The sequence below is a fragment of the Homo sapiens genome, chromosome 15 (genome assembly GCF_000001405.40).
Source record: "Homo sapiens chromosome 15, GRCh38.p14 Primary Assembly".
NCBI classification, from domain to species: Eukaryota; Metazoa; Chordata; class Mammalia; order Primates; family Hominidae; genus Homo; species Homo sapiens.
In genome coordinates this window covers 80,315,748-80,332,840 of record NC_000015.10, presented here as the reverse complement: position 1 = coordinate 80,332,840, position 17,093 = coordinate 80,315,748, and the positions used below count along the sequence as shown (strand labels likewise).

General features: G+C 41.4%; 1 long non-coding RNA gene across 1 annotated transcript in view, besides 1 other annotated feature; it reads left to right on the top strand.

Annotated features, from left to right (window-relative positions):
• The window catches only part of LINC00927 (long intergenic non-protein coding RNA 927), a 78,738-nt gene that overhangs the window by 8,965 nt on the left and 52,680 nt on the right, over positions 1 to 17,093 (top strand). The window lies entirely within an intron of this gene.
• Positions 14,544 to 15,044: an enhancer, noted in NCBI's record as "H3K27ac hESC enhancer chr15:80610139-80610639 (GRCh37/hg19 assembly coordinates)". NCBI's record gives its function as "activates a minimal SCP1, AML or CMV promoter by ChIP-STARR-seq in primed H9 embryonic stem cells {active_cell/tissue: H9 hESC(primed)}" and the evidence as "EXISTENCE:reporter gene assay evidence [ECO:0000049][PMID:30033119]".

Genomic DNA, 17,093 nt, shown 5'->3' with positions numbered 1-17,093 from the left:
AATGGAGCAGAAGCAAGATCTAGGATGCTATGTCATTGGAAAGGATAGGTGAAAGGATAGCTGTGGCTCTCGGTGCTGGGAAGAGCTGTCCTGGACAGGCACTGGCAAAAACAGCTGGCGGTACACGCTTCCAGAACCTGTTCTCCCTGGAGTGGCCATTGCCAGAATGCTAGGCTGATAATAAAACACTCAAAAAAGTCCAGCTTGGCTAGATGAGCCACTTACAGCAAGAATTGCGGCAAGCAGACGGCCAGGCCCATCTCCACACTGTCCCTTAGACATGCAGCAGCTCTGGGAGCCTCGAGATCACTGCTGCCCGGTCATAGTGTCCCCAACGATGGGTGAGCGCCCTGGGAGGTTTCCTCAGAGGACCGTGCAGGCAGTCTGGAGGCAGTGGTCCACATTGCGGTGTGGCCTCTGTGGCTTTGCCTTCTACTCCAGACATAAAATCCGAGGGCTTCTTGCATGGGCTGATCCGGGGCACGTGTGCCACGGAGCCACCCTCACCCTTCCTGGGTGATACCCGACGCTTGACGACTCTCCACCGTCTGCCGCACCTCTCAGCGCCTACCTTGCCGGCTGGGCAGCTACAACCTGAAACACCTGGAATCTGAGTCCCCAGCCTTGCCCCCCGCAGCTGCCAGCTTCTTCTGTCCTGTTGGTCCCCGCGGGAACTGGTTGGGGAGGGGACGGGGCGGTGGTACTGGAGGGCTGGGCCAGTCGCCAGCGGTGCTAGAGAATGAGTTCCGGTCCTGCCCCGCACCGGGCTGGCACTGGGCACAGGGACAGGCCTTGGACCCCGCGAGGACCCCACTGCTGAAACCGCCCCAGCCGCCGCCCTCCCTGAGTGTTCACTCAGGTAGTGCATTTTCTTCAAATGTACAAATGCAACTGTTCACGTTTTCCACAGCATGCGGAAGATTAATTCCAGCTGGACTAAAGACCTGAATCTGAAAAGCAAAATTTGAAACAATAAAGGAGAAAACATAAAAATATAATTTAAAAAGTAAAAAGTAAATTGGAAAAAAATCAAAATATATCTTTCCTACATTCTGAACTCAAGGAGGTTTGTAGACACAAAACTGCTCTGATATCCTATATTCATTACTTCCCAGTGAGTAAGTCTGAAATAATTGACTTGGTACCGGGAGTGGTTACCAACCTCTGATTGATTGGTTAATTAGTGTGGATAGGGCTAACAGTAACAACCCACAAAATATCTAAAGATGGGATATAGCAGGCTAAAGTCAGCAAGACAACCTTCTTAATTATTACCAGAAGAGTCCTTTAACCATTCAACAAAATGGAGCAACAGTTAAAAATCTGCTACAACAAAAAGAAAAGGCCAATACCATTCTCTGACAGTTTTCACCAAACATGCATAGAATAAATTATTTTAATCTTATACAAAGTTCATCAAAGAATAGAAATTAGAGAAAATGGTCCCCAATTTGTACTATAAGGCTAACCATGTTTGGCAAGGTTAGTATTATCTACTGGTGCATTAGTTAATAGATAAGTAGATAAATTAGTTATCTACTGGTACATAACAAATTAGCCCAAAACTTAGGAGATATGGGATCAATTGCAAAGTATTCAACATTTTAAAATAAAATTTGGAACTAAACATGTGGTTATGTTTATCTCTCAACATAATCTTCATGAATTAATAAGCCAGAAAATTTGCATACCAATTGTTAAGCATTAAGAGATTTTTTTGAAAAGTTTAGTGATTATATAATGGCATACTTAGAAAACTAAAATGAAAATTTGAATAATGTGGCTAGATACAAGACAAATATACCAAATCAATGGATTCCCTCTAACCTACAACTAAGCACTCAAAAGTGGAAATGGGGTAAGATATATAGATTATCCCTTTTGCTCTGCAATTTTATTGTACCAAATGACTTAAAAATCTATAATTTTTATAAGAGAAAATCCAGAAACTATGAGAAAACAGAATTATCTATAAAACATTTAAACTGTTGAAGAGGAAATGAAAAAAGCTTGTCAAATGTGATATACACAATAGATTTGGCAAATTCTTTGTAATGGAGATGACAAAGGATTAATAATCATTTCTATTTTATATGAAGAAGACAAACATTAAGCACTTGAAAAATGAGCAAGGAACTTAAGCAGACAATTCAAAGCAAATCCAAATGCCCAAGAAGCATAATCAAAGTTATTTGAACACAGTAGTCAAGAAAATATTCAGCAACAGTATCCATGAAATTGCCAAAATTTAAAAATTAATTACATCTATTGTTGGCTGGATTGTGGGGAAAAGGATATCCTTAGAAATAGTTAGAAACAGACATTATTATAGCCTTTTAGGGTAAGCAACTTGAAATAGCTCTAAAATTTTAAAACATTCTTTTAACTGAAAATCTCACTGCTGGGAAACAATCTCACAGAAATAAATGCTATAATATACACAAGGATGTTTACTATTGTATTGTTAATGTGACAAAAAAAGGAAAAATAAAATGAGTGCCCTTTGATGGTCATACTAATAGGATAATGGAATAATCTACAGTACAGCTACATCATGTAATAAAAGTTGGTAGTCATTAGAAATAAATAGGGGTACAGAAGTTGAGTAAGAGAACTCCCATAAAGTATTTATTATTGAAGGATAAAATCAAGATGCAGAGTATATAAGATGAGTAAATCTGGGTGAAAATAATAACAAAACCTGAAGTTATTTGAATATATGTATATGTATTATGTATGCATAAAAGAGATGTGTCTATTTATATATGTGTTTTATTTTTAAGTAAGGATAAAAAAGATACAATCCACAAGGGTTCTCTTTTCTTCCCATCCACACCAACACTTGCTATTTTCATCTTTTTAACAATAGCCAATCAAACAAATGTGAGGTGATATCTCATTGGGTTTTGATTTGCATTTCTCTGATGATTAGAGATGTTGAGCATTTCTTCATATACCTGTTGGTCATTTTATAATGTCTTCTTATCAGAAATGTTTATTCAGGTCTTTTGCTCATGTTTAAATAGGGTTTTTTAATTGAATTGTTTGAGTTTCTTGTATATTTTGGATATTAGCCCTTTATCCATTTTTTTCTCCTAATTTGTGGGTTGTCTCTTTGCTCTTTTTTTTTTTTTTTACTTTATTTTTTTAAAACTCCTCTTGCTCTCATTCCCAAACAATCTGTTGATTGCTTGCTTGACTGTGCACACATATGCTTTTAGTTTGGTGCAATCCCACTTTTCTCTTTTTGCTTTCATTGCCTATGCTTTTGGGGTCATATCCAAGAAATCACTACCCAGACCAATGCCATGGAGATTTTCCCCTATGTTTTCTTCTAATCAGCACCCAACAGCACCCTGCTGCCCAGGAAGTCTGGGACCCCTAAGAGTCCTCTCCCTGCTACCTCCCCACATCATACAATGGGGAGGACTCCACCCACCTCACAGGGTTGTAAGAGGCTGCATCAGTGGACCCGTGGAAAGCATCTAGGACAGTGGCTGCTACAGGACACATCCATGAGAACACTCACTGTTGTTAACCCTGAAGGTCACAGCTTGCTGAGGGTGCCCAGATGCGGTGATGTCCCTTGCCCTATGGATTCAGAGCCTGATAAGTGGTCATGATGTCACTCAAGGGTCACTGGGGAGGCTTCTTTACAAACCTGTCCCTTCCTCTTAAAGGACTGGAATGAACTTTGGGGCAGAGATCAGGTCTGCTTCATGCCTTAGTCCCAGACAGTACGGCGATGCCTAACACAGAGCAGGTATCAGTGTGCATTTGTTGAATAAGTGAATGAATAGCAATCCCACGCAAGACCTGCCCTTATGGGCATTGGTGGAGAAAGGGGCTGTGTGATCAGCCACCTGAGTTGCTGTTCCTTAAGGATGGATCCAGGGCCACTGTCCCTCCACCTCCCCATCCCCATCCCTGAACCCCAGGAAGGGTCACTGTGAAGGTCCAATGAGCACGCCCATGCTTTTCCTTGGGGCCACTGTGACATTGATGGCACCACGGCCTCACAACAAAGTACTGGGGCTCAGCATCCCTGTTCTTGACCTGTCCTAGGGGTTAGGAAGACACTTGGGGAAAGCCCACTGAGCTCTGCTTGAGTCAGATCTGCTTCTGTTTTGGAGGCCATTTAGAACAGGAAGCAGCAAAAACAGGAACAGGGAACCCTTTGAGGAAGGGTTTATAATGTTGAGGTGGTGGGAGGGAGAGGCTGAATACATAGAGGAAAATGCATGCTCTCTCCAGAGAAGAGAGGGGTGTGATTCGTGTGACTCCAGAAGGCAGAACAGGGACAAGTGGTTGGAATCACAGTAGAACCGGGAAGATCTGGGCTTCGTCAGAAATGCAGAGAAATTCCCCAGTGGCCCCTCCTTCTCCTCGGGCTCTTCCCCCCCATGGCACCCCTCACCTTGCACTGCACCCTCAGGAGAACTCTTGGCACTTCCTGAATGCACCAGGCCATTTCCCTGTCCTCGTCATCGACTTGCATTTCCAAATCTGGGCCAAGCATCACTTCCTGGTGGAAGCCCTTCTTGAACCTACTCCAGGTACAATTTTCTATCTGCTACTCTCTACTCCCTTATACTAAAATAATACTTTGCTATATCTCAGAACACCTTTGATTTCATTCACTTCTTGTAATTGTTTGCGAGATTGACCACACAGTCTTCTTGCCCTGTATCCTCTTCCCTCTAATATCCCTGTTCAACTCTTTTCAAGAGCAGGAGTCTTTCTCTCCCTCCTGAGTTGCGGCTGGCCTCGTGATTGCTTTGGCTACTGGGACAGTATAGTAAGTCTTAGGCAAGCAGAGATTGGAAATGAGTTTGTTGGCCGGGCGAGGTGGCTCACGCCTATAATCCCGGCACTTTGGGAGGCCGAGGCGGGCGGATCACGAGGTCAGGAGATGGAGACCATCCTGGCTAACACAGTGAAACCCCGTCTCTACTAAAAATACAAAAAAAAATTAGCCAGGCGTGGTTGTGGGTGCTTGCAGTCCCAGCTACTCTGGAGGCTGAGGCAGGAGAATGGCGTGAACCCAGGAGGCGGAGCTTGCAGTGAGCCGAGATCACGCCACTGCACTCCAGCCTGGGTGACAAAGCGAGACTCCACCACCAAAAAAAAAAAAAAAAAAAGAGAGAGAGAAATTAGTTTGTCCATTTGGATTGCCTCTGCTGCTCTTCAAACTTGGAGAATCAAGCCCAGGGCAGCCCTGTTGTTGATAAGGAAACATGTAGGAACAAGATCCAGTGGTTGGAGCTGAGTTATTTTTTGAACAGCCAATTCCTAGCTGACCCCATCCCCACCTGCCCTGGCAGCTGACTGCAGACACATAAGCAAGTCCAGCTGATAGCAACTGAGCATGACACAGACCTAAAGAACCCCAAAATATCAACCTCCAAAACTGTGAGCTCTAAATGGTTATTGTTTAAAACCACTACATTTTGGTGTCATTTGTTACACAGCGTTAGATAACTGATACACTTGTTAATTTGGCTGTTTCTCACTTAGGATAAGAAACCTTCTCTTAGTCATTTCTGAATCAAGGACATCTGTTGTAGGGGCTGGTATGTAGCCATTATAGATTAACTCTATCCTGAGTGAATGGATGAGTGAATGATATGAATATGCAAATAAGAATTCATGCATAAAATCAGTAGTGCAAAAACTATCTTGTTTATGATATTAAATAAAATAATTCCATTTTAGATCTTCTTGCTTCCCCAGTAGGTAGGAAATTTAAGTCCATTATTCTTAGGGTACCCCCCCTAGTGTTGTGCAATGATTGCCAGGGTCTGACAAATGACCCAGGCATTGGAGAAGGGCCTTAACACAGCCATTGCCCAAACCCGTGGGGCCTCCAGAAGGGCTGGTCCTGCAGCTTCCATTTCCTGCTTGGGCACAAGCCCAGTGGCAGGGGTCAGAGAATTCTCACAGGGTTTGGCCTACCTGGGTGCTGCCATTGCACTATGAGGTGCTGCCACCTATGCCAGGGCACTGCCCAGAGACAGGGCCCACCCCTTCCCAATGTCTAGAACTCTCCTCCCTCTCCCAACTCCCCCATGCCCCTCAGCCTCCCATTCACTCTGTGCGATCACGTCAGTGAGCTGCGACTTTTACAACGGACACCCTGAGAGCCATGCACTTAGGCAGCTTCTGCCTTGCTAGCCCAACTACCTTCCTGAAATCAAATTGGGCACAAAAAAAACATAGGAAGATTTTATGTGCAATTTTCATGTTTCAATAAATTATCTTGCCATATATGTTCAAAGTGCCCTGTAGAAGAGTCCCCTCAGGCCTCTTACAAGTTGCAAGAGGATGGAAACAGAATTTTTAATTGTGTCGTAATCTATGGGGAAGAATTCAAAGAACAGAGGCAGCTCCACATGAAGCTTCTGGAATAGCTCCCCATCCATTCCTCCTGGCATCTTCCCTAACACATTCTACTCCCTTGGAAGCCACTGGAAATATTAGTTAGTCCCTCACACTTCCACAAACAGCATTTTTCAGATTCCTTCAAACAGTAGCTTTGCGTTCACTGCCAGCTGCATTAGCTGCAAAATTATATTTTTTAAAAGCCAGAGAAATCTGACAGGGGGCTAGGTAAAATCAATAAACTAAAACTGAAATGAAATTTCTTTTTCCTGTTTTTGAGCTTACAGAGTCTGTTTAAAATAGCTTATTCAGGTTCACAGTGAAGAGAGGACTCTTGGTGAGGGAGAGACAGCTTGGGACACCTCTAAAACAATATGTGTCCTTCCCTGATGTTATATTATGTGTTTGCTGTTTTCTTTGGGTAGCATCCACCTCCTTCACATAAATGGAAGGTCCATGAGGACAGTAACTTGTCTGATCTGTTTCTCAATGTATTTCCTGATATGTGGAACAGTGCCTGGCTCCCAGGTAGGAAATGCTCAAAACTATTTGTTGAATGAGTGAATGTTTGTGGGTTTGTTAACTTTGCACTGCTCTTTATTCACATTCATAAAAACAGAGACAAGGAAAGGGGGACAAAAACTCATAAATTCAGGATTCAATACAGTGAGAAAAGGGCCTGTATAATGGAGAGGTAGAAAAAATTAAAATTTTCTGTCTGCGTTAATTGACAGCCACTCTTTGCTTTGCTTTGCTTTGGAGGGAGACACACTGCTTCTTACACTCACATTGTAGGATATTCGAGCACTAGGGTCCCTTGACTTGGTTGTATGTATAAATACACAAAGTCATTCAATTAAAAAAAAAATCCTTCTCCAGCTCACGCATTGGCCCTAAGAAGTTTTTTAAATGGATAAACAAAGAATATCTGAGAGCAGTATAATCTCTACATATTCTAACTTCCAGTTTCGGGACAGAAGAGAGCCCAAGAGGCAGTTTTAGCATTATGAAGAATGAGCAGATCTGTAAATTGTGAAAGAGAGGGCGGAAGTGATTTTCTGCGGTCATTAACTGCATGCCTTTGACCACGACCACGGTGCTGCACGACTCCAAGGGTTATTTTCTCACAGTCTGTGCAAATGACACTTCCAGGGCACAACCTTCACTGTACGTGGCATGGCCTTGCCTGCAATGTGTCAGACAAAGTCTTATCTGTGTCTATTCAATCCTATTCTCTGACTTTCTTGTAAGTCTCTAATTTTCTCTTCAGTTGTGTCTGGTCCACTATTAAACCCACCCATGGAGGTAGAATTTAATTTGTTTTTTTCTATTTCACAGTTTCAAGTTCTCTGCAGATTTTCTCCATCTTGGTCTTGTTTCTCCTTGGACATAACAAGCATAGATATTTTAAAGCCATCTCTGATAATACCAGTAAGGAAACTTCTGAGTCTGTCTCCACTGTCTATTGTTTCTGTGGTGTTTTGTTCATGTTGCTGTATCTCCCTCCTGGCCTGCTTATTACTTGTTGGTGCCAATGGTTGTCTTTGTGAAATTGTTTATGGAAACCATTTGGGGTCTAAAGCGTTCTTATCTTCCTCTGGAGAGGATTTGTTTGCTTCTGCCAGCTCCTTAGGATTAATATCAATCCAATATCCCTTCAGACAGGCATAAGCACTGACATGATTTGGAGCTGAGCTCAGTTCTAATGACAGCCTGTCTGCTGCCAGCACTCACTTCCGTCTCACAGTCCTTGAAGGCCCAATCCCAAACAAGGGGTGCTTACCAGGGTTTCATCCTCCCCAGATCACGGCCCAGAAATTCTTTATCTTCTTAGCAATCTGAAGCCTTAAGTTGATGTTTCTGTTTTGATTTTACTATTTTGTGCAGCTTTTATAGTTCCCAACAAGAATATTGATCAGAATCTCCTAGCTCACCATTAGCGGGGGCTTAGCTCTGCATTTTTCAAAGTTGTTCTCTCTTTTTTTTTTTTTTTTTTTTTTTTTGAGACGGAGTCTCGCTCTGTCACCCAGGCTGCAGTGCAGTGGCGTGATCTCGGCTCACTGCAAGCTCTGCCTCCTGGGTTCACGCCATTCTCCTGCCTCAGCCTCCAGAGTAGCTGGGACTGCAGGCACCCACCACCACACCAGGCTAATTTTTTGTATTTGTTTTAGTAGAGACGGGGTTTCACCATGTTAGCCAGGATGGTCTCGATCTCTTGACCTCGTGATCCGCCCGCCTCGGCCTCCCAAAGTGCTGGGATTACAGGCATGAGCCACTGCACCTAGTCGTTTTGTTCTCTTTTATCCACCATTTGTATGTCGTTGTAACAGGAGGAATATCTCCATGTCTGCTCAGCCTGATGTGTTGCCAAAACCTTGCTTTCCAAATTCTCTGCAATGAACATATATTATTTAAAGTCAGTAAACAGTTATTTGTAAAAATTGAGATCAAATTACTTTACAAATAATCTCATAATCCCTAAGATGAGAGCTCAAGAACTATTTTTTTCCTAGTAACTGCAAAGGTCTATATATAGCTCATTTGCATTATATGTAACATTTATTAATTGCCATATGCCCAGTGCACGGTGGCTTACATGCATTAAAATATTTATCTTCTCCCAAACCCTGTAAGATAGACACTGTTATTAAATGAGTTTTAAAGCTGAGGAAAGTGAGGTGAGACAGTTATTAGTAACAGAACTCGAATTTTGACAGACAATCTGATTTCAAAGCCCACACTCTTAATGCAACTCCCATACTCACACTCACTAAATCTGTGGTGCTGGTTTGCAAAAAAGAAACTCTTCAAATTAAAATAGGACCCTTTTGAGCCTCACTGAATTAAAAATAAAAGGGGACTGTGTGCATTTGACAACATTAGTTGGTAAGATATTCTATATACACCAAGAAATATACATTGCTGTAATTTATTCCATGAATGTTGGCAGGGATATGGAGAAACTAGAACTCTCATACCCTGCTGGTAGGAATGTGAAATGGTGCAACCACTTTAGAAAATGGAGTTTGACAGTTTAGTAAAAAGTTAAACCTGTTTCCACCGTACAATCCACCCATCCCACTGTTAAATATTTACCCAAAAGAAATGAAAGCACATGTCCACCAAACACTTGTATATGAATGTTAATGGCAGTTCTATTTATTTATAGCTGAAAACTGGAAACAACCCAAATGTTCAACAGGCAAATACCTAAATAAATTTTGGAATATTCTTACTATAGACTCAGCAATAAAATAGGAACAAAGGTATTGATAAACACAATAGCACGGTTGTATCTCAAAATAATTATGCTGGTGAAATAAGCCAGACAATAACAACAAAATATTAGGTTGGTGCAGAAGTAATTGCGGGTTTTGCCATTAAAAGTAATACATATGGAATAATTCCTAGAAAATTCTGGAAAATGCAAACCAATCTATGATGTCAGAAAGCAGATCAGTGGCTGTCTGGAGACAGAGTGGGGTGGAGGACCAGGGCAATTGAAGGAGGATAAATACAAAGGGCACAAAAAAACTTTGGGGGTTGATATAAAAATGTATTATTTTTATTGTGCTGTTGGTTTTGTGTGTGTATGTCAAACATCTAATTGTACACTTCAGAATGTAAAATTGATTGTTCATCAGTTATAGTTCAATAAAGCTGTAATTGTAAAAAAGAATGAATATTGAGTATATGCATTTGACAGCATTCGTTGGTCAGGTATTCTGTGAGTAACAAGAAAACACACGTTTATGAAAATTTCTAACATGACTTTTTAGCTTCTGATTACTTTAATTCTGAAATACATCTGTCACCTCTCTGTTTATCTGATGTCTATACTACTAGCTTAATTATGCAAATGATATATTTTTGAAATGATTTAAAGTAGCATAATTGATTTCAATGAACAAAGACTGCTTTTTATGATAAAACATTTCCCATCATATGTTTCACGAATCTTTTGTTTTCCCTTCCAGTATAGCATAAACCATCCTAAATATGGATGCTTTTTCTCCCTTAAAAGGAAATTCTCTCTTCTCTTCTTGGTACTCTAGGTAGCTTCCAAATAACATTTTATATTGGTTATTTGTATTTTCATCAAGTAAAACAGAGATAAAAACATGCATATAAACACAATTATAAATACATAATAATGCCCTTCCATGTTAATTTTGTGCTTTTGAGTAAACATTTAATTCCCAAGAAAATATCTGTGTTAACTGCAATCTTTGATTTCATTGGAGTTTAAGTCTCACGTTTCTGTGCCTATTGCTAAGCTGAGTTTTTATTTTGATGTAGTTTCCACAAGGCTAAAGCCTTTTTTTTGAAATGAAAATATAGAGTCAGTGAATCAGCTTCAAAAAGCGTATCAGGCAGCATCTGCGTAATGAATGCGGGAATAAAGCACAGTTATGGGTTTTCTGTTCACTAAATCCTAAGCAGCTTAATTAGATGATAAAGACGCGTTTGTAATGGATGAAGTGCACTTTGTTGGGCACCGCTGCATCTGAAAGTCAATTTCTGGTTGGAAAAGTGCTGCAGAGTTTGAAAACCAGAAAGAAACTTCTAGTCCAAGGGTTCTCAAACTCAGCCTTTGGATTAATGTAGGTGCCTAAAGGCATGTTTATTAACATAGATAGAAAGAAGTGCAATAATTTATCATAAAAATAAATTGAGACCGAGCGTGGTGGCTCTCGCCTATAATCCTAACAAGGCAGAAGGATCATTTGAGGCTAGGAGTTTGAGACCAGCCTGGGCAATATAGCAAGACCCCAATCTCTACTAAAAAATTAAAAAATTAGCTGGGAGTGGTGGCATGTGTCTGTAGCCCCAGGTACTCAGGAGGCTGAGGCAAGAGAATCTCTTGAGCCCAGGAGTTCGAGGCTGCAGTGAGCTATGATTGCACCACTGCACTCCAGCCTGAGTGACAGAGCAAGACCCTGTTTCTAAAAATAAATAAATTTTTTTTAAAAAGTGACTCAATTTAAAGTCTAGAGGTCTACAAACAAACAAAAAGCCAAACATGAACAACTACTTTAGGACAAAACTATCTTCCTCTAAAAACAGAAGCGCATACACTGACGTAATTCTCTCTCTCTGGCAGACAGGTTTCTAAGACAGCCACCGATGGGTCCTACCTCCTCGTATTCACATCCTATGTAATCTCCTCCCCAGTGTGGGCTGGACCTGGTGACTTGCTTCCAGTGAATAGAATATAGCAAAAGTGATTGATGTCACCTCCAAGATTCAGCTATAGAAGACTATGACTATGACTTTCCTCTTGGCTAGCATTCTCGCTAACCCTTCCTGCTTGCTTGTACTGAGCTGCCCTATGAAGAGGCCCATGTAGGGTGGCCTGGGTGGGGGTGATCTGTGGCCAACAGCCAGCAAGGAACTAAATCCTGTTTACAACCACATGAGCTTGGAAGGAGATCCTTCCCCAGTAAAGCCAGGAGATGAATACAGCCCCAGCCTCCAGCTTCATTGCAGCATCGTGAGACACCCACAAGCAGGACTCAGCTAAGCCACAGCCAGAATTCTGTCCCACAGAACTTCAAGACAACTAGTGCTGTTGCTTTTCAGCTGCAGAGTTTTGACATAATTTGTTGTATAGCAATAGCCAGCTAGTTATCAATAACCACTATTGCTCCTATTGTTTCTCACCACATATCCATATAGTCATGAGGAAACCTCTTTAAATGAGACAAAGAATCAGAACTAATAAAAGATAAGCAAATTCCTTTAAATATACATTTTAATTTTACATGGTAAAATATTTCAAACTGAAAGCAACTGATTTCTATTTGCAATTTCACAGAGAAGCTGGATATCATAAATTCAGCAGATGAATGGTAGACTAGAGAAAATTCAATGCATATGGTAGATAGTAAATTAATATCTATAATGTACAAATTAATTTTTAAAAGGCTAAGAATACCCATTACAGAAAAGCATAGCCAAATGGCTAATCAGCCTACGAAGAGATATTCAAAACCCTTTGAAGTCAGAGAATTGCAAGACAAATAGTGTATTATCATTTTCAGCCCACCAGACTGAGAAAATTAAAATGAATTGTAAACCATCTTTCTGGTAAGCATTCAGGGAAGCCAGGGAATTGTTTTAAATCATTAGAAAACAATCTGACTATATGTTTTAAAACTAAAAACATACTCTTTGATCCTATAATCTCACTTCTCGGATTCTAACCTTAGAAAAAAATGCACCAAAACATAAAATTTTATGGACAAGAATGTTTATTACAGTGTATTTGTAGTGGCTCCAAACCAGAAACAACTTGCATGTGTGTCAGTAAAGGGGATGTTGAATAAGGTGCATCAATATACTATGCAGGATACAATACCTGTGTAGCAGCAAATGAGTTTGTGCATCAGTTTCCATGTTGACTGAGGACAGCAATGTTCAGGGTAGTATGCATGAGGCTATCTCATTTGTTTTTCAAAAGCAATGATCCCTCAAATCTGATTTTACTCACACACGTGGTATACGTAAATAGATCAGATAGATGCATAGATACATAGACATAGGGACATAGACACAGACACAGACACAGACATAGACATAGACACCATAGACATAGAGAGCAGAATGGAAAAATACCCATTAGGTTCTTAACATATATTGGGCATGGGGTGTAAAGAGAGAAGTGGGGAGAGTGAGTGAAGAGATAGAAGAGAGGAGGGGGAGAAACAAGCAAAAAAAAAATGAGAACCTAAATGAGCATTTAAAATGAAGTCTACAGTAAATGCAGCACAATCCCACTTGTGTAAATGTTATGTGTGTGTGTACACAGATATGTGTGTGCATGAGGACATACACAAAATCATGATGGTTGGAAGGGTTAATGGTGACCCTGCCAGGAGGTCTGATTTCACGGGCTTGCCCCATCCCCCTTTTTTCTTTATACTGTTATGTATTGTTTTATTTTTCCCCCAACAAACATGTATTATTTATATAACGGGGGAGAGAAAAAAGTCAATTTCCACTATGGAAATAAAAGAGCCCATTTATCACTTTTATGTGCTTTATGTATTGGAGTCTCAAGTGAAGAAGATTTCATTAAAAAAAAAAAAAGAGTTACACCACAAAAAATGTTTGCCAAACTCTGCTCTAGACAATACCAACTTTCTCCCTCACCCTCAAGCCTATGGAATTGCAGAATAGATTAGTATCTCTGTTTGCAGGAGAAAAATGAAATTTGCAAAAATGAATAATAAGCAAATGCTTGTTGAATTAAAACACATTGCAAATGACAATTTACAAGACAGGCTGAAACTGGCAGCCAGAGGCTGCATCCAGCTCACAGATGAGTCTGTTAGGCCCACACCGTGCTACAAAAAATGAATTCATTAATAACATACAAAGTTAGTAGAGTCCACTCTTTTTACTTTTTATTTGTATTATATTATATTTTATTTTATTTTGAGACAGAATCTCTCTCTGTCGCCAGGCTGGGGTGCAGTGGTGCCATCTTGGCTCACTGCAACCTCCGCCTCCTGGGTTCAAGTGATTCTCCTGCCTCAGCCCCTTGAGTAGCTGGGATTACAGACACATGCCACCACACCCAGCTAATTTTTGTATTTTTAGTAGAGACGGGGTTTCATCATGTTGGCCAGGATGGTCTCAATTGAGTCCACTTTTTAAAAAATATCTGGAAATAAGCTTTCTTTTGTAAAACCCAATTTTCTGGAGACATTGGGCACACATTTGCACATGACAAAAATGAGCCCAAGCTTCTTTGTGACTGTCCCCTTTGACCAGAACTCACGCTTTCCAATCCCCATGCTTCCTACAAGGGCTCTTTGTCAAATCACCTGCCTGGCAACTGCCATCACTCTAGGTGGCTACCCTGACTTACTGATATAGGGACAGGGAGGGTCAGGAAATGATCCAAGGACTCACTCTGATTGCCCAGAACTAGGACCAGGGTCCACTGGGAGCTGTATGCAGAACAGGCGGCTTCAGCTTCCATGGGATCTAAGATTCCCAGGTTCTAGGAGCCACATTTCCAGACAACTGCTGCTGTAGACTAAATGTTTATGCTCCTCTGAAATTCATATGTTAAATCCTAGTCCTCAAGGCAATGGCATTTAAAGGAGGGGACATTGGAAGGCAGAGCTCTCATGAATGGGATTCATGCCCTTATTAAAGAAGCCTCAGAAAACTGCCATGCCCCTTCTACCACCTGAGGGCACAGCGAGAAGACAGCCAAACCTGGGAGGGGGCCCTCACCAGGCGTAGAATCTGCTGGTACTTTGATCTAGGACTTCCCAGCCTAGAGAACTGTGAAAAATAAATTTCTATTGTTTATAAGCCACCCAGTCTATGGTATTTTGTTGCAGCAGCCCAAATGAACTGAAACAACTCCTCTGACAGCTACACCCAATCCACAGTGCTGGTCAAAGCAGTGTGTGAGTCCTTTGCTCCAAGGCTGCTCGCCCATGTCCTACACAAGAGGCCAGCAGGAGCCTGAGGAACACACCCCCCACCTCACTGTGTGTGTGTGCCTGGCAAAGCACCCTGCCCAGAACCCTCTCCGCCAGGGCCTTGGGAGGAGAGGGGACGTCCAGCCTCTTCTCTTACTGATCTTACCTTTGTAAGTTCCTCCTTTCCAAAATAAAGCCTATTCCTAAACTTGTGCTGGGTGATGTGGAATTCATTTGAGGAGACCCTGTTGCCAGACAGCGGCAGCATTGGTCTCGCAATCCCTCCTCCTTGGGGAATTCTTGTCCTCTCACCCAGGGGAGGTTCAGACAGTAGCTCTGTTCATGGCCCTTGGCTTATTGCATCACCCTTGTTCTGAATGACTCTTCTTCCACCCACGTCATCTGCTCCTGCTTCCCAAGCTGGCCTAATGGGCTGGCAGCATCAGAACTGATCATTTGGTGACAGAGCATTCTCAGCCTTTTGCTCAGCACATGAGCTAAGTATGATCTGATCCAAGAACAGAAACTGCCTCGGCCGTGTAGGTTTCCCCAGCTGAATTTCTCTTGCTCTTAGCTGTTCATGACTCAGTGTGATGGGGTCTTGGTTGTCTTCACTTGCATTGTGCTAGAATTCCTACTTCTATGGAGGAAGACATTTCTCTCATTTGATTTAAAGAAGGAAAAATTGTGTATCTGGGGCTGAGTGCTTCCTGGAAGAATCCCTGTGATTACTCAGACAGTCTTTCTTCTCTGATTCTGTTTTATTTCTCTCTAAAAAGTCCCTGAGCTTCTTTAAGATTGAGGGCTTGTTGTGAAGCTTTCAGTGTTGGAGCCACTATCTGTGGGCTATTCTAAAGCAATCAGGCATCCTGGGGTGTGATTGTAATATCTGTACTGTAGAAAGATAAAAAATAAGAGGCAATTCACAAGAATGCTCCCAACTCCCCACCTGCTAATTCACTGTGACCGTCTACATATGTCTGTAATAGTCATTTGGGAACAGAGCTGGGGTCAGGGAGGGCAGGTACGGAGCTTGGAGGGACAGACTTTCTCTTCTAAGGTGCTCACAGGGTTTTAAGGAAAAGTTCTTCTGAAGCCTGGGCTGTTGGGATTGTGTGGACAGTCAGAAGTGAATGTCAGACCAGGAAGTAGGAGCCCAAGTGAAGACCAGGGAGAAACACCCAGAGCCCGGGAAATACTGACAAATCCTGAAGGCTGAGCACCTGGACAAGCTAAAGGAAAGATGAAGTTTCAAACAGTGCTCAGAAATGACACTGAGGAACAGGTGGGTGAAGGGTCTGCTGAAGACTGGCAATCCACTCAGCGAATGGGTAACAGATTCCTGTAACACAGGATGTGCTGAAGATTACGTTCTGCAGCCCATAATTTTTCAATCAACTCAGAGGACCAGTGCTTAATGGTCAGCAAAATAATTAATGATCTTATTGGACTCAGTGGATTGCAATATCTCCTTGTCCTTTGAGCCTTACAGAAGCTATTTGTTTTAGAGTAAAGATATTAAATTCATGCTTGAGAGCATTAAAGAAGGAAAACAAATGGCCTCAAATGAAATCAATGATTTCTAAAAGAAAATTCTTCTTGAGTTGCTCTAACAACTAATCTTCAACAAAACGTTTCAGGGTTTGAATTAGAAGCCCTGTTTTGTTCTTGCTTTCGTTTGAACTGAGAATTTTGTTGTTCTCCAAATCCCTTTTTTTTCCCCCTCTCATTTTGCATGGGCCTTGCAGAGCTGGATTCTGTCCACTTTGAGTCAGTCACTTCTCACATCCAGGTTCAACCCTTCCTCTGTGAAATGGGGGTTGGGAGTATTGGGAGGAAATGAAATGATATCTCAGCCCCTTCCAGCTCTGACATTTAGGGATTTTGTGATTTTCCATCTAGACAATCTCTCAGCCTTATTTTTGTGTATTATTGTTCACAGAATGAGAAACTAAAGTATTAAATATTAGGAGGTATGCATTTTTATAGCATACAGCTGGAGTGGACCATACAGGTTTATTTGAAGAAGGACATGCATTTGCTGAAGAGAATACATCCAAGTTCTTCTTTTACTTAATTAAAAAATAAATGCCACGGCCTGAGTACTTTTAAATTAGGCTTATTAAACTGCAGACCACACTCTGAGTGCATATTAACGTGCTCTCGAGCTCTCCATTTTATTTAATATCTCTAGGAATAAATGTGATGTAATTACACTTAATATTTCAGTTGATGGCAGAGGAAGTTAGATTAGGCAAGCTTGCTGGA